Here is an 18,663-nt window from a genome sequence, read left to right as displayed (position 1 = left end):
AAACTTTGGGCACAAATGGGGAGAAGAGGATACCAGGCAGAAGAAACAACATCTATTAAGTCTCAGATGTGAAAAAGAGAATGAAACTACCAGCTGTAGGATCTAACAGTGACTTAGTGCAGCTGGAGGGAAAAGTATGAGAATGAGTGGTAAGAGATGGGTTTTGAGATGTCAGCAGATATAAGATTTTGTAAGCTATGCATATTATTAAGAGTTCTCCAGAGAAACAGAACCAATAGGAAATATATGAAAAGATTTATTATGAGGAATTGATTCATGCAGTTGCAGAGGCTGAGATGTCCCATGATCTGTCATCTGCAAGCTGGAGACTCAAGAGGGCCAACGGTGTAAGTCCCAGTCTAAGGGCAGGAAAAAACTAAAGTTTCAGTTTAGTAGTCAGGCGGAATGGGCAAAGTCTCCTTTCCTCCACGTTTTGTTCTTTTTAAGCACTCAGTAGATTGGATCATGTCCACTCACATTGGAGAGAGCAACCTGCTTTACTGGGTCACTGATTCAAATGCTAATCTTATCTGGAAACTTCCTCACAGACACAATCAGAAATCATATTTAGTCAAACATCTGGATACCCTATCATCCAATCAACTTGATGCATGAAATTAACCATCACAAGTCCATCCTTTGTCAGTTTGGCACTTATACTCATCTCCTTAAATCATACTTAGCCTCCAAATAAAGACAATAACAAGGTCATAATTCTGCCTAACATAATACACCTATCCTATGAACAACCCAAAGTGCAATAACCCCTTTTCCAGAAAGGAGGTAAACATAATGTATTAAAACAAAATAAAGAGTAAATAATTAAGAAAAGTATAGTGCTAGTTTCTGTAACTGGCCACATGATTGTAGCTGTTATTTATAACAATCTTTTCTTAGCTACCCACTCTGTACTTTTTGCCTTCAGCAAGCATCTCAGCTGGTTGTAATTCTATGACCCAAACCTTTACTTCTGAAGAGTCTGGACCATTCCTAGTCTTGCCTGGATTGGGATGTTTTGGTTCTCCATTGCCCTTAGTCAGAGGGCAGGGTAATACTAAGAGACACTCTGAGGGATCTCCTGTATTTCAGACATGCTTCTTCTTACCTTTGCAGAGTAGCAGTCTAAATTCCCATTGGTAGTCAGAATCGATCACCACAGCCAGCAACTAACTCCCATCTTTGCCTGTTGACTCAGAGGCGTGAGGAGCCTAAAGTGGCCAGGTAGTGCTTTTAGCTTCCAGCTCAATGGAATCATCGTTGTGTCTCCTGGTGGAAGCGTTCCTCCTTCTGGAATTAAGACCTCTAGGCCATCAGAGCACAAGCTTGCAGAAACAGAAAGCAAACATTTTTCTAGTGGCTCTGAGGGATAATAGTGAGTGGTGCTACTCTCATTTTCGCCCCTTCGTTCCTGGGCTTATGAATCTTGGCTATGAGAAAAATTGCATGAAATATTGGATGCTGAATAAGAGCATGTGCAGCCTTCTGGAGAAACGTGTCCCAGCTGTGCAAGGTTTTGTCACTCAGTGGGCACTGTAACTGTCACTTCAAAAATTAATTCCAGGCTTCTCTAAGGCCAGCTGTTTCAGGATAGTGGGGAACACAGTAAGACCACTGAATTCCATGAACAAGGACCTATTACTGCACTTCTGTTGTGAAGGGAGTTCCTTGATCAGAGGCAATGCTGTGTGGAACACCATGAAAGTGGGTACAAACACCTGTAAGTCCACAGATGGTAGTTTATGAAGAAGAATTGTATTCAGGGAAGGCAAATTTATATTCACACTTAAATGTCTTTTCCAATAAGAATATAAATAATGTCCCTTTTATGATGGAAATGAACAAATGTAATCAATGTGTTAGCAGGTAGCTGGCTGATCACCCTGGGAATGGGGCCATTTCAGGGACTCAGTGGTCTCTGCTGCTGGCAGATTGGGTATTCAGTGGTGGCCACAGCTGGGTTGGCCTTGATGAGTGGAAGTCCGTGTTGCAGAGTCCACTTGTAACCTCCATCCCTGACACCATGGCCACTTTGTTCACGAGCCCAATGGGCAATGAAAGGGTTGGCTGGGGAAAGAGGCTGAGTTGTATCCACAGAACAGGTCATCCATTTGATTATTAAAGTCTTCCTCTGCTGACATCACCATTTGGTGAGCATTCATGCGGTGCACAAATATCTTTGTGGTTTTTTCTCATTCAGAGAGGTCTATATTCACGTATTTCCCTAAATTTCTTTGTAACCAATTTTAGAATCATATTCCTTCCAAGTCTCTGACCATCCAGCCAAACCATTGGCACAGCCCGTGATCACTATACAATCACACATCTGACTATTTCTACTTTCAAGCAAAGTGAACAACTAGCTGCACTGCTCTAAGTTCTGCTTACTGGGAGGATTTCTCTTTACATCTGTTCTTCAGGGATGTCACAGAAAGAGGCTCTAGTGTTGCAGCTGTCCGCTTTTGTGTGGTGCCTGCATGTCATGTGAAATGAACTAAATGTTTATGCTTCCCCACAATTCATGTGTTAAAATCCTAACCCTTAATATGATGGCATTAGGAGATGGAGCCTTTCGGAGGTAGTTAAGTCATGAGGGTGGAGTCCTCCTGAGTGGGATTAGTGCGTTTATAAAAAGAGACCCAAGGGAGCCCTCTAGATCTCCTTCCACCTTTTGAGGATCAAAGGAGAAGTTAGCTCTCTGCAACAAAGAGGAAGGCTCTTTCCAGAACCTGACCATGCTGGCATTTTAATCTTGGGATTCCAACTTCCAGAACAGTGAGAAATAAATTTCTGTTGTTTAGAGGTCCCTAGTCTATAGTATATTTGTTACAGTATCCCAAACTGACTAAGACATATGAAAACAGATGCAGAACCATCTGTAAACCGGGCCCAGGCCAGGCTTCTCATCCAGTGACCTGACTGTAAGGTACCTTCCATGAGGCTATAGGTACAGGCTGGCTGAGCGATGGTGGCATATCAGGAGTGGAGACCATGGGCATTTTGGCAACTTCTTCATGTAACTTACTTGTTCCTTCAGGGCCTGCTTGCGCCTAGTCAAGTATGAACTGCTTCCATTTGGTGATGGAATGCTACTGTGCATGCCCAACTTCATGACCTGGTGGGTTAGATAACATCCAGTTCATAATGGGCAGTTCAGGTCATATGATATTTTGGTAACCCATGGTTAAGCATTCAGTGTCTACAAAGGCCCAGAAGCAGGCCAAGATCGATTTCGTAAAAGGGGAGTAGTCATCTGCAGACAATGACGGCAAGGCCTTGCACCAAAATTCTAAGGACCCACTGTAAGATTTACCTCAAGAGGCCTGACAAAGACTCCAGACAGCAGTCCTCTTTGTCAATGACACTTTAAGCACTATTGGATTGCCTTAAGTGGCAGAGAGATTTGCACATCAGCCTGGACCTGCTGCAGACTTTTCTCCTGCTCTCAGCCCCACTCAAAGCTAGGAGCTTTTCAAGTCACTTGGTAAATGGGCCAGAGTAACACACCTAGATGAGAAATATGTTACTTCCAAACTCCAAAGAGGCCCAGTAGGCATTGCACCTCTTTTTTGGTTGTAGAAGGGGATAGATGCAGCAAATTGTTCTTCAATTCAGAAGAGTTATCTTGACATGACCCACACCACAGGACCCCTAGACATGTCACTGATGTAAAAGGCCCTTGATTTTTGGTCAGATTTATTTCCCACTTTCTGGCACACACGTCTTACCAGTAAGTCTAGAGTAGTTGCTACTTCTTTCTCACTAGGTCCAATAAGCATGTCATCAATGTAACAGACCAGTGTGATATATTGTGGAAGGGAAAAGCAATCATGACATAAGACTCGAGATTTGATATATCCAAGAGGTATGGCAGTGAAGGTGTAGTTTTGCCCTTACCATTAGAACAAAAAGTGGTTCTGGTATGTCTTATTGACAAGGATGGAGAAAAGGAAATTTGCCAGATCAATAGCTGTATATCAGGTACCCATAGATATGTTAATTTGCTCAACTAATGAAGCCACTTCTGGTACAGTAACTGCAATTGAAGCCACCACCTATTTAAGCTTACAATAATCCACTGTCGTCCTCCAAGATTAATCTGTCTTTTGCACATGCTAAATAGGTGAGTTGAATGGGGATGTAGTGGGAATTGCCAGCCCTGCAACCTTTAACCCTTTGATGGTGGCACTAATCTCTGCAGCCCCTCCAGGGATGCAGCATGCTTTCGATTTATCATTTTCCCAAGTAGATGCAGTTCTAGTGGCTTCCACTTGGCCTTTCCTACCATAATAATCTTCATCACACAGGTCAGGGAACACAGGTCAGGAACGTAGGGATTCTGTAAGCTCCTGAGTATTTCTATTCCAATTATGCATTCTGGGCCTTTGCAAATAACCACAGAATGGGTTCAAGGACCCACTGGAACCACTGTGAGATGGCCCTGAAGTAAAACTCCATTGATCACCTGAGGTTCATAAGCCTCTACTCTGACTGGGTAGGCTGCAATGACATTTTGTCTCTTAAAATTGGTGTCAGTTTAGAGACAGTTTCTGGCAGTCCCCAAAAGGCCTTATTATTTCTTTTTACCCAGTGCCAAGTTACTCTAGTAAAAGCAGGTACATCCTTTTGGGGAAGGTTGAGAGAAAAATTAACTGTATAAATTTTCAGTAGTGTGCCAAGGTCATTCCTCAAGGGAAACCAGCCTCACCTTTGCTCAAGGTGTTTTGGGTTTGTAAAACTGGCACAAGTCTGACAACTTATTAAGGGATCATGACCGTCTGCTTGTAATTTAGGTTATAGTCGTGTTCACTTGACTTAAACTTTTCTGCATATTCTGATCAAATAAGAATTTGGTAAGCTTTCTATTTTACTTCTAGTAGCACCATAATCAACCAGCAAACATCATAGGTCTTTGAGTCAGTATTCTGATGTCTGCTTTCGCTTTGCTGTTCTTTACCATACACACCCACCTTGCCATTGGACAGTGCCTCCACTTGGCCACTGTCCCTCCAGAATACAATTACTTCCAATGTGTTTAGGTTTCCCCATTCAGTGGCTGCACTTCCTACTGTGAGGTCTGTCCGATAGAGAAAAGCAACCACAGATCTCTTTGAGAATGTTGGGGCTTCCCTCACACATTTATTTCTCACACTCGTGGTGAAAGGTATGTCTTCTGGACCTTCCCAGAGTGCATGTGTCCAGTCTCCCTAAGCCTTTGAAGTCCTTCTTCATTAAACCAAAGCAGGGCTGACATTTTTAACTTGCTTACTGTGGGCTGCTTTTTGGCCCATATTTTAGCTAATCAACCAAACCAACTATGAAAGCCCTTTCTAACTCCCTGAGCTGCAACCTTAAATCCAGAATATTCTTATTGGGCCCATATCAACACATTTGTCTTGATCCAATTTTATGTTCCTTCCACCATTATCCCACACCTTTAGTATCCTTTCCCACACATGTTCCTTGGATTTCTGACTGTAGTAATGAGAAAAACCAAGTAATTCTTTTGAAGTGTAGTTTACCTCTTTAAGGGCCACACTTTGTACTCGATTTTAGGGGCCTGCTGGAACTTGGGTCATGTTATAAGTCTAAAAACTAATAGGGGTGGTGAGAGTGGGTTTTGGGGAGAATCAGCATTGTCTTGCATGGCAACTGCCTCCTGGGAGGCCAGCCACTACAGTTTCCTTAGGCAATGCACTGTTAGTGAGTCATCTCAGGTGGGGCTGGGGAGGTTGCTTCTACTGGGGATAGGGAAGCTAATTCTGCTGGGGGTGGGAGTCTTCTTCTACTGGCAAAGAAAGCTCAGCATTATCTGGGCTCAATTACTGTAGCTTCATCAATTTCTTCCCACCCATTCTTACACCAACTTACAAAATCCTATTCTTCCCCAATCAATGCCCTCCCTTTAACAGTAGAACTTTGTGAGGGTGGGAGCTCAACTTGCATTGCAGTTCAGCCAGTTGAAGGATAAGATTCTGAGTTTAATTTTCAGCAATCTCAGTCTTGCTGCTGTAGGAGACAAGGGTCTCCTTCAGGGCACACATAGAAGCTTTCAACTCTTTCAGTGGTGTGATGGTTAATTTTATGTGTCAGCTTGACTAGATTATAGAGTGCCCAGATATTTGGCTAAACATTATCTCTGGGACTGTCTGTGGGGGTGTTTCTAGATGAGATGAGTAGATGAGATGAGCATTTGAATCAGTGGACTCCGTAAAGCAGATAGTCCTCTCCAGTGTGAGTGGACACCATCCAATTGGGTTAACTCACTGAAATGTATTTTGAAAAGAGCTAGAATTAACTGAAACAGTACAAAAATTGTTACCTTTGAAGTGGGGTGCTGCCAAAACAGAAATCGTCCTAGTATTCACAAAAAAAGACAGTAAGAAACTGATCTAGATTGGAAAGGAGGCATCTCTTAAATGCAGTGGCAAAATATTAGATAAAATGCCACATGTCAAACCTGAAAAGCAATCCATATGTCTACTGAGATGTATTCTAGGATAAGAGATTGGAAAAAGTCAAAATGTGGTATAACATCTTTTACTCTCTGCTTTTAGCATGGAACCAAAAGACATAGGTGAGATTAGATTAAAAACATTGTGACTTGCACATGTTTGAAAATTCAGCTGCCTCCTGATCACAGCAGGAATAGAAAAGAAAGAAAGTAAAAAAGGTTGAGATGAAAAATGTTCATTAAGATTTATAAGTTATTCAAAGAGACTTGGCTCTGAGTGTCTTTTGCTCCAAGCCTAATTTTCAGATGGTCTCAAGCTAATTAACATTAAATTGAGAGAGACTGATATAGGGACAAAAAGAAATCAGGCTTGAAAGTTATGTCTAGGGGGAAAAATGGTTGTGGTTGTTGCCACATGTAGCTGACTGAAGGCAGGTAGATCAGAAACTCACAAAATTTAAAGTTCAATTATAGTGTTAAGAAAGGAAAAACAATGCTTAGCTCTCAGACTGCATCAACAGAAGGCCTGTGGGGGCTGTGAAAACCCCAAGAGGGAAGGACATAATCATTGGTGCCCCATTGGATATGCCATGGAGAGTAAGGAGCAGAAATAGTTTCCCAGGAGTGAGCTGGGTCCACAGAGAAAAATGGGCAAGGAACAGAGAAGGAGCATGACTAGACAGTTGGTTTCAAGCTTCCCAGCCTTCTTGGCTTGCCTGGGATATTCCCAGTTTTAGCACTGGTAGTCCTGTGGTCCTCGGAATCCCTCCACTCCTTGGCAATCCCACATGGTTAGTCAACCTAGGATTGTTCCAGGAGTTATTTTTCCAGGTGAATCCTATGATAGAATAATGTGAATAAGTAGCATGAGATATAAGCAAAATAGTGGCTGTAGTGATGGGTGACGATTCCAAGCTAGCTGACACAGGGACTGAGATCAGAATAAAGCCCAGTCGTACCCACACTGAAGATAAGATATAACTATGATGACAGAAGAGACAGTTACCTAAGCTTGGATGTCTTACCACATATAATGCATGCAAATTAAGTTACTTTAACTGATGACAGAATTTCTCTTAGAAAGACAACAGAATTCAATTATGAAAATACATTGGTAAGCCATTTTGTGTGTGAAATTGTTGTGTTAGTGTACATGTTTATGGTGTGTTGGCTCTACTGTATTATACATAATGTTTTCAAAGTGTTTTGGATGTCCTATGGTAGTTTGACTCATGAAGGGAACACATTTCATTTTTATGCAACTTATGAGGTGATTTGAAATTTATACTACAAGCAAAGGGTATTCCAAATTATTATGCAATGAAGCAAATATAATGTTCACTAATTTAGTAATAAATGTTTAAAAGAAAAGAACACACACTTGTGTGCACTCACAGCCCCCCACCACACACTCTTCTTTATTGATGTATTGAGGAAAGATGCCAGATTCCTGTAAGTGATTTATTTGTTTGACTTCAGGATCCAGTTTATACTGAGAGCCTAATGCAATGAATGTCTGAAAGGGAGAATATATTCCTGGTCTTTTCCTGACCTCTCCCACAGATATAAGTGAATGAAAAAGGTTGAAGCCGAAAGTGAGGCAAGCCAGTGCTTCCCTGTCTTTCTGTTATGCGGGGCAAGCCAGTGCTTCCCTGTCTTTCTGTTATGCTTATTCAGCTCTGACTGGCTCTGTGTACATCTTGGTTAATATCCTGACTTCATTCTCACTACTACTTCCTATTGATACCAATCTAGAAGACACCAAGCAGGCTTCACTTATGAGTGGCATTCTTTTACTAACAATTTAGGTGGGTCAGGAAGAGTTAGTGCTTAAAAGGTTACCTTCAGAAGACAGATCAGAAGGCAGAATTGGTTTTGGTTGTATTTTAATGTATTTGTTTATTAAATAGTGAAGTTGATAGGTTCAGGAGAAGGTATGATAATATGGAGGGTAAATGTTAACTCAATTTAAAATATATAAAGGGTTGAATTAAAAATAATGTGGAAATAAGTTGTCTTATTGGTGGGGCTAAGAGTTAAGCTTGGAACTAGATTCCATTGTTTATGCTCTTTTACTTCACATTTGAGCAAGCTGGAAACAATCAATTGACAGGAAATGTTCCAGGCTATTTGCAAATGAACATTCACCCAGTCTCACCAGCATGGTTATCTGTGATATGCAATAGTAGAAGTTTTGTACAAACCGCACTGCAATCAACAAATTTGAATTAGGCAGTTGTCCTGATCATCTGAGTCTCAGCCAAAAAAATAAATAAATAAAGCTAGTTAAACGAGACTTATTTTCATGGGTTACTCTATAATAAAATGAATAAAATTGGTTTTCAGCACTAAATTAAGAACAAGCTGACCATCTACAGCAGCCCTCATAGCCTGGAAAGATAAAGAGCTGTAGGATGGCAAATGGTTGCTATACATTATGGATACACCCCTGTAATGACTGTGAAGTACCATAAACAACACTCAGGGTGCCATTTAACTGGTTTCCTTTATCTTCGATTCCTTGTTTAAAGGCACTGAAGTTCATCAGGGTGAATCTGTGGCTGGCAGTTACCAGGATAAAACAGTAGTATTATGTTTCAGGGTCCTGATGAAATGAACGAGTGGGCTTTAGCCTCCGCAGAATCTGGAGGAATATAGCATAAGCCTCATTAAGCATAACAGGTGAACAATCATGTTATTGTGGGCCTCATTACCCTTCATCATTTGCCTATATTTTCAGAGGGGGCATAGATTATTAGAAAAATGTCAAGGGAACAGGACTTACTGGGAAGGAGAATCAATTCGATTTTATCATTCACATCATTTGGCTTTGATTGAACAAATCTGAGTACCTAGAGGTATTAGAAAGCCATAGAGAAATCTTATTAGAATATACAATAGATAAATATGAGTCATATATTAAAAACTTTCTCCTGAATCCTGCACAGAGTTTTTGGGAAGATGTCTCCCATCAAACTGAGGAAAAGCATATTGTTATTTTGTTGTTGCTGTTAAAAAGGCCTCACTGGAAGCTAGGCAGCAAAATCTATTTGATCTCACTATATCTAAAAACTCCAGCTCTCGAATCTGACCTCATTTCTTTACATAGCAAACACTTCCCTTACTGGTTTGTAAAGAATGCCAGGATCTTTTGACTCAGAATTCAAAGACATTAATTGGCTGTCTCACAGTACACATTACAAGGTGTTGAGAAATCTCTGAGGATAAATGTTATCCTGAAGAGGCTATCAGTCCAACAGCTTTTGTGCCATTTGTGTCTAAAGCAACATAATGAATTTCCAACTGGTTTCCTGTTCTATGAGCTTTACCAGTCGGTTGATCCTTGTTTTCCATTGTTTACTTCACCTACTGAGATGACAATATCACCAAGGGTAGCTCATAAAATGTATAAGTTAGGTCTAGGATGTAAAAAACTAGAAAAAGCATTTCTCTCACTCCAGCAACAAGAAAAAGCTAGGTACAGTATAAAACAATAATACTATTTTACCTGTAAGAAAGCTGAGATCACAAGTCAATCAATTAGACTAAAATCCAGAGAGAGAAGGCTGCCTCCCATTCCCTGCTGAGTAAAGACTTGACATACAGCCAGTCTGACTGGTGTCAGTGTCCTAGAGGAAGGGGTGGCTGTCATGAAGGAAGGTAAAAGGAAGTCAGCTCAAGTTTTCGTGTGTTGCTGAAGGTTGAGTGTGAGCTACCATGATCATGTAGACCCCTTGAGAGCCCCAAATTCAGGGAGAGACTACCTTCACTCACAGGCTCTTTTCCTTTTTCATGTAGCTCCACCATGGGCTCATGAGGGGGGGATTTAGGGGAAGGGTGGGAGATCAATGGGGAATTCCTTGTGCAGGACTGCAGGGAGGAATCAATTGTCTCTATGGAAGGCACAAAACCTTGGCCCCACTGCCTGGACACTTCTCTCATAAGGAGCAAAAGTCTTAAGTACTAGGGGAATAGGGCAAAAAGCCCAGTCAAAGCTATGTCATTGTTGTTGGACAAAGGAGAGAAGAAACAACCTCTCAACCTATGGGAAGTACCAAGAAAAATCTCAGAGCTCATGATCCTATACCAGTAAAATTAGAAGCTTTCCACCGCTGGAGAGAGGAAGAAAATTCTGGCTTGCATAAGATGCACACCAATACAAGGCAGAGCTTGGGTGATGTGAAGAGGAAGGACGAGAATGCTGAGAAAGAACTCGTGAAATGATAAATACAAAAGTAAATGTAAGATAATTTTTCTTATTTTAAATGGCTAATAGATAATTGATTCTGTAAAGCAAAAATATTAATAACAAGTTTTAAAGTTAATAAAGTATATAAAAGTAAAATGTATGACAAAAACAGCATAAAGGATAAAATAGGGATAGACAATTATAAGTTTCTTAAACTACATATAAAATGGTATGTGTTTATGAATGTAAACCATGATAAAATAAAGATGTGTATTGAAAACTCTAAGGCTATACAGAAACATAAGGAAAGAGGCATAACTAATAAGCCCTTAGTGGGGATGAAATGGACAATATAAGCACTGTTCAACTGACCTAAAAGCAATAAGATAAAGGGAAAAATAAAACAAAAGAATGGAACAGGAAAAACACAACCTGCAGAATGGTAGATTTAGATCTAACTACATCAATAATTACTGTAAGTGTAGTATAATCTTATCAAAAAATGCAGAAGCAATTGAAAATTCTTATAAAAAACTGCCACTTTACATGATCCACAAAAATTAACTGAAAATGAATTATTGACCTAAACATAAAACCTAAAGCATAAAAAAATGAGAAGGAAAAAACCAAAAACAAATAAAATAAGAACAAATTTTTACTTTACAATCCTGATTCAGGTAAATAATTTTTTAGATAGGACACAGAATACTCAAATCAAAAAAAAGGGAGGCAAATTGTATATCATCAAAATTCAAAACTTCTACACCTTGAAAAACCTTGTTAAAAAATTTCAAATATAATCCATAGACCAGGAAAAAATATATGCATAAAACATATCTTATAAAGGACTAGTCTCCATAATATAAAAAGAACATTTACAACTCAATAACTAAACGAAATTTAAAACCTGGCAAATAATACACTTAGTTAAAGAAAGAACAAGGATGGTGAATAAGCACAGGAAACGATCCTCAACAGTATTCTTCATCACGGAAATGCAAATTAAAACTACAATGAGTTGGCCAGAACTTCCAACACTATGTTGAATAGGAGTGGTGAGAGAGGGCACCCTGTCTTGTGCCAGCTTTCAGAGGGAATGCTTCCAGTTTTTGCCCATTCAGTATGATATTGTTTGTGGGTTTTTCATAAATAGCTCTTATTATTTTGAGTTACATCCCATCAATATCTAATTTATTGAGAGATTTTAGCATGAAGGGCTGTTGAATTTTGTCAAAGGCTTTTTCTGCATCTATTGAGATAATCATGTGGTTTTTGTCTTTGGTTCTGTTTATATGCTATTCACAATAGCAAAGACTTGGAACAAACCCAAATATCCATCAGTGATAGACTGGATTAAGAAAATGTGGGACATACACACCATGGAATACTATGCAGCCATAAAAAAGGATGAGTTCATGTCCTTTGTAGGGACATGGACGAAGCTGGAAACCATCATTCTCAGCAAACTATCACAAGGAGACAAAAAACCAAACACTACATGTTCTCACTCATAGGTGGGAATGGAACAATGAGAACACTTGGACACAGGAAGGGGAACATCACACACTGGGGCCTGTTGTGGGATGGGGGGAGGGGGGAGGGATAGCATTAGGAGATATACCTAATGTAAATGATGAGTTAATGGGTGCAGCACACCAACATGGCACATGTATACATATGTAACAAACCTGCACATTGTGCACATGTACCCTAGAACTTAAAGTATAATTAAAAAAATAAAATTAAGAAAAAAATAAATAAAACTACAGTGAGTTACTTCTAAATATTTCAATGGCTAAAATAAAAATTTAAAAATCTTTCAATACCAAATACTAGCAATGATGTGTAGCAACTCGAAACCTCATACATTGCTTGTGGGAATGAAAATGGTATATCTACTTTTAAAAAATACTTCTTAAAAATTGTGGAAAATACCCATCATGTAAAATGTACCATATTAACCATTTTTAAAAGTATAGTTCAGTGGTATCAAGTACATTCATATTGTTCAACCATCACCACCATTCTTCTCCCAAACTCTTTTTTTCTTACTAGACTAAAACTGTTCTCATTAAACAACTACTCACAATTCCTCTCTCCCCAGAGTCCCTGGCAACTACCATTCTATTATCTGTCTCTATGAATATGACCTCTTTAAGTACCTTATATATGTGGAATCATGTGTCTTTTTGTGACTGGCTTATTTCATTTTGCATATGTTTTTAAGGTTCACCCAAATTGAAGCATGTGTCAGAATTTTCTTCCTTTTCACAGCTGAACAATATTCTCTTGTACATATATACTACCTTTTCTTTAGCCATTCATCCTTTGATGGACATTTGAGTTGCTTCCACCTTTAATCTATAATGCCACTATGAACATGGGTATGCAAATATCTTTTTCATATCCTACTTTCATTTCTTTTGAGTGTACACTTGGAAGTGGAATTACTAGATCATATGATAATTATATTTTTAATTTTTGAGGAACCACTATACTGTTTTCTATCGTGGGTACAACATTTTAAATTCATGCCAACGGTGCACAACAGTTCCAATGTTTCCCCTTATTTTCTGACACTTGTTATTTTCATCTTTTTTTAATAGTAGCCTGAATTTGTGGCCTAACATATGGTCTATTATGGAGAACGTCCTGTGCGCACTTGAGACAGATGTGTAGGCTGTTGTTTTGGGGTGGAATTTTCTGTATAGGTCTGTTAGATCTAGTTGGCATATTTTGTTGTTCAAGTACTCTATTTCTATACTTATATTCAATCTGATTATTCTATTCATAATAAAAGCAGATTATTGAAATCTTCAAATACTATTGTAGAACTATTTCTCCATTTAATTCTCTTAAGTTTTGCTTTATATATTTTGATGGTGTTTTATTAGATGCATAATTATTCATACTTTTATATCTTTTTTGCTTTATTGAACCTTGTTAGTAAATAATATTCTTTGTCTTCTGTAACATTTTAAATATAAACTCTATTTTGTCTGACATTAGTTCCAGTCACCTTTGCTCTCTTTTAGTAAATATTTTCATGTGATATCTTTCTATTCTTTCACTTTCAACCTATTTATGTCTTTGGATCTAACACAAGTCTCTTACAGACAGCATATATATGGGTTACTAAAAATACATTCTGTGAATAGTTGTATTTTGATCAAGCAGTTTAATTCATTTAAATTTACATTTAAAAGAATTATTAATGAGAATAAATTTAACTTCTGTCATTTTTCTATTGTTTTACATATACCTATGGAATTTTTCTCCATTTCTTCATTGCGATCTTATTTTTAATTTTTTACAGTAAAACATATTAATTGCCTTCCCATTTTCTTTTCTGTATATTCTATAGCTATTTTCTTTTCGGTTAACATAGGAGTTATATTTAAGCTCATAAAATTATAATGCCTTAATTTGAATTCGTACTAGCTTAACTTACTCTTTTAACAGTTCCATTTTCATTATTTCAGTTATTTAATGTCACATAATTGCATCCTTATACATTTTGTTCCCCAAAACATAGACAAATACTTGTTTTTTAATGCATCCATTTCTTAAATTATGAAAAAAAAGCAAAGTTGTAAACCAACATCAAAATTATACAGGGTTTTATAATTGCCCATGTATATCTCTTTACAGGGATCTTCATTTCTTCTCAAGACTTCAAGTTACTGTCCACTGTCCTTTCATTTCAACTTGTAGGACGGACTCCCTTTAATATTTCTTGCAGGGCAGGTCTCATGGTAACAACAAAATCTTCGGCTTTTGTTTATGTAAGAATGTCTTTACTTTCCCCTTATTTTCATTTACTTTCCCCTTGCTTTCAAAGGACGGTTTTCCTGAACATACTTGGTTCACAAGTTTTTTGACTTCCAAGATTTCTGGTGAGAAATATGCTGATAATTTTCCTGAGAATCTATCATATATGAAGAGTTGCTTCTTTCTTGCTACTTTCCAGATTCTCTCTTTCTCTTTTGATGGTGTGATCATAATGTGTCTTGGTGTATTTGTCTTTTTTTTTTGAGACAGAGTCTCACTCTGTCATTCATGCTGGAGTGCAGTGGCATGACCTTGGCTCACTGCAGCCTCTGCCTTTGGAGCTCAAGTGATCCTCCAGCCTCTCAGCCTCCCAAGTAACTGGGACTACAAGTGTGTGCCACCACACCTCGCTAATTTTTGTATTTTTTGTAAAGACAGGGTATTGCCATGTTGCCCATGCTGGTCTTGAACTACTAAGCTCAAGCGATCCACTTGCTTCAGCCTCCCAAAGTGCTGGGATTACAGGCATGAGGCACCACACCTGGCCTGTGTGGTTCTCTTTGAGTGCATCCTGTTTGGAGTTTGTGGAGCTTCATGAATATTTATATTTATGTCTTTCATAAAATTTGGGAAGTTTTAAACCATTATTTCTTCAAGTAATCTCCATTTTCTTTCTGTTTTATCCTTCTGGGACTCCCACAGTGCCTATGTTGGTTTGTGTGATGGTGCCCCACACTGTCTGTTAACTTTTATTCAATCTTTTTTCTTTCTGTTTCAGACTCAGTAATCTCAATTATCCTGTCTTCAAGTTTGTTGATTCTCTCCTCTTGCAACATACAGCTGTAATTCAAGATCTCCTAAGAGACAACCAAATAAGAACTCTGAAAGGTGGAAAGAGAAAAGTGAACTGGTTAGACATACCAAGACAGGAGGAAATGCATAGTGTTTGGTCTTGTTAAGACCCCCACCTAACAGTAGAAAATGGCCCAGACCTGGTGATATGGTTTGGCTCTGTGACCCCACCAAATTTCACCTTGAATTGTACTCCCCATAATCCCCACGTTTCAAGGGCAAGACCAGGTGGAAGTAACTGGATCATGGAGGTGGTTTCCCCATGCTGTTCTCATGATTGTGAGTGAATTCCCACATCTAATGGTTTTATAAGCATCTGGCATTTCCCCTGCTTGCACTCACTCCATCCTGCCACCCTGTGAAGAAAGTGCCTACTTTACTTTTGCCTTCTGCCATGATTGTAAGTTTCCGGAGGCCTCCCAAGCAATGCATAACTGTGAGTTGATTAAACCTCTTTCTTTTATAAAGTACTCAGTTTGGGGTATTTCTTTTTCTTTTTTTTTTTTTTTTTTTTTGAGAAGGAGTTTCGCTCTTTTTGCCCAGGCTGGAGTGCAATGGCGCGATCTCATCTCACTGCAACCTCTGCCTCCCGGGTTCAAGTGATTCTCCTGCCTCAGCCTCCCAAGTAGCTGAGATTACAGGCGCCTGCCACCACGCCCGGCTAATTTTTTGTATTTTTAGTAGAGACAGGGTTTCACCATGTTGGCCACGATGGTCTCAATCTCTTGACCTTGTGATCTGCCTGCCTCGGCCTCCCAAAGTGCTGGGATTACAGGCATGAGCTACCGCGCTTGGCCTGTTTTGGGTATTTCTTTATAGCAATGTGGGAATGGACTAATACACCTGATAACATTGACCTGCACTTGGCAACAGAATGTGTCCTATGTAGGACTATTCATCACGCAGGTCAAATTGGAGTCCTGATAAGACCAGAGGAGCACAGCAGGACAAGTGTGGGGCTTCAACCTGAAGCTTCACCAACAGTGCATAGACAAGGGAAGCTCTCTGTGTCTCCACTGAGCCTGAGATTCTGCTCCAACATCCCGGGGTCCTGCTATGTTGGGCACTGACAAGAGGGACCCCACCACAACAAGCCCCCTACCTGGGGGCTTTTGATACAAGCACTCTTTCCCAAATATTATGAAAGATAAAACCCACATAATAAAGAAGCTGAACAAATTCAAAATATGATAAACCTAGAGTAACCTATGTCAAGATACATTACAATTACTGGAAAATAAAAACAAAGAAAATGTCTCATGACTGTGGTGGTGGTTACTTTATTGTACATAAGTATTTGTCAATATTTACAGACTGTAGAACTGGGAAGGAAAACATTTGCTCTATGAGAATCATACCTCAAAAACCTGCGTTAAAACATATCTGGCCGGGCGCAGTGGCGCGCCTATAATCTGAGCACTTTGGGAGACTGAGTTGGGCAGATCACTTGAGGTCAGGAGTTCATGACCAGCCTGACCAACATGGTGAAACTCCATCTTTACTAAAAATACAAAAAGTAGCCTGGGGTGGTGGTGGATGCCTGTAATCCTAGCTACTAAGGAGGCTGAGGCAGGAGAATTGCTTGAACCCAGGAGGCAGAGGTTGCAGTGAGCCGAGATCGTGCCACTGTCCTCCAGCCTGGGCGACAGAGCAAGACTCTGTCTCAGAAAACAAAAACAAGCAAGCAAACAAACAAACAAACAAACTAGATATCAGAGTGTCTATGATGTCTTATTACATCCGTATCTGGCTTCTGTAAAAATCTAACATGAAATTACTAGAAAAGGCTTCTTTAGCATCTTTATTTGGTCACGTGGCTTTCAGTATAGGTCCATGAAATCATCTCCTCAAATTCTCTACCTTTTTTCCAAATGCTGTCCTATGCTTACTTTTCATGGTTTACGTAAGTGCACTACTCATAGGCAATTCTTTGCTTACTGTGTGCTGTGCTTCCTACTGGATCTTGGTGTGCAAGACGAAAAACGCTTGATCTTTTCTCCTGTGAGTCCACTGAGATACATTTGTTCCATTCTTCCCATTATAGGTGGATGGGAAAATTCCCAGGTAGGCAGGTTAGAAACCCGCGAGGGATGTGGGGATTCTGCCTCCTTCTCCTGCATAAATCCAAGCAACCCTTGTCTCGCCCCTGCTGCCTCCTTACCTGCTTTCATGTGAATTCCCTCTGTGCGCCCCGCTGCTGTTTCCTCGTGTAAAACACCTTTCACCTTCACTTCAGCAATGTCTATCTGGAACTTTGTATCCAGCCTTACCCTCCTCTAAGCTGTTTACTGAAAAGAGTTTTGTATATTTATTTTTTTTGCCTCAAATTCCTTTCTAAATCCTGTGTATAGTGGACACAGGACACAGCCCCTGCTCTAACAGATAACAAGCAATGAAGTAGGCAAATCGATTACACTGAGGTAAGAGTAGTGACAAAGTAAGCCACAAATATTGATAGACAGTGGATAAAAGGGCTCTTACATAGAGATTTGAAGCTACACTCAGTTGAGAAAGTGAAAGCCAGTACATATGAGGGTTTTCTGTAAGGCTGTGAACTCTCCGCTGTGCAAACAGAAGCAGATAGCACATGTATCAAGGGCATTCCAATCAGCAAGTTCGCTTAGTAATAAACTCCACAGTTCTGAGAGTTGATGCTTTATTTTTAATTTTATAACAGATTTACAGATTGTATTCTTCCAAATGAATATGGTTTTCGATTTAACACACTTTTGAAATTGTTCATTGGAAGTGCATTATAGGCTCTGTGTAAGCCATAAAATACAAGTTATTATCCCCTTAATTTTTATCAGAAAAGGGGCAACTTTGTTAGTTATCTCGTTCATTCTGGGCTCTAAATTATCATCTTTTTGAAGGGAAGCTGGACAATGAATGTCTTGACTCATCAATGTGTCTCCCACTGTCCCTTCCACTTAGAATACTGCATTTGTCCTTTAGGGAAGCAATAAAAATAAAATCAGAAATCATGCCTATCAGTGAATTGCCATGATTAAGAATGTTCAAATCAAATTTTGCAGGTTTTAAAAGCTGTTCAAAAAGAAGAATTCAAAGTGCTTTAGTGATGTTGGAAAAAACAATGACATCTTGCTGGAATAAGTTTAATGCCTTCCAAGGAGATGCCTGAAAAGATAGCAAGATCATTTGTATGCAGAGCTCTGGTGCATTTTTTAAGCTAATAGAACTGACTCTCCCTATTCCTGGGTTCCATATCCATGAATTCAGCCAACCTTATATCTGAAAAAAGATTTGTCTGTACTGAACATGTACAGACTTTTTTCCTCGTCTTTATTCTTCAGAAATGCAGTATAACAACTGTTTACATAGCATTTACATTGTATTAGGAATCACACATAATCTAGAGATGACTGAAAGTATACAGGAG

This window comes from Homo sapiens, chromosome 6 (genome assembly GCF_000001405.40).
Source record: "Homo sapiens chromosome 6, GRCh38.p14 Primary Assembly".
Classification (NCBI taxonomy): domain Eukaryota; kingdom Metazoa; phylum Chordata; class Mammalia; order Primates; family Hominidae; genus Homo; species Homo sapiens.
The sequence above is the reverse complement of the archived record's forward strand: the minus strand, read 5'-3'. Positions refer to the sequence as shown.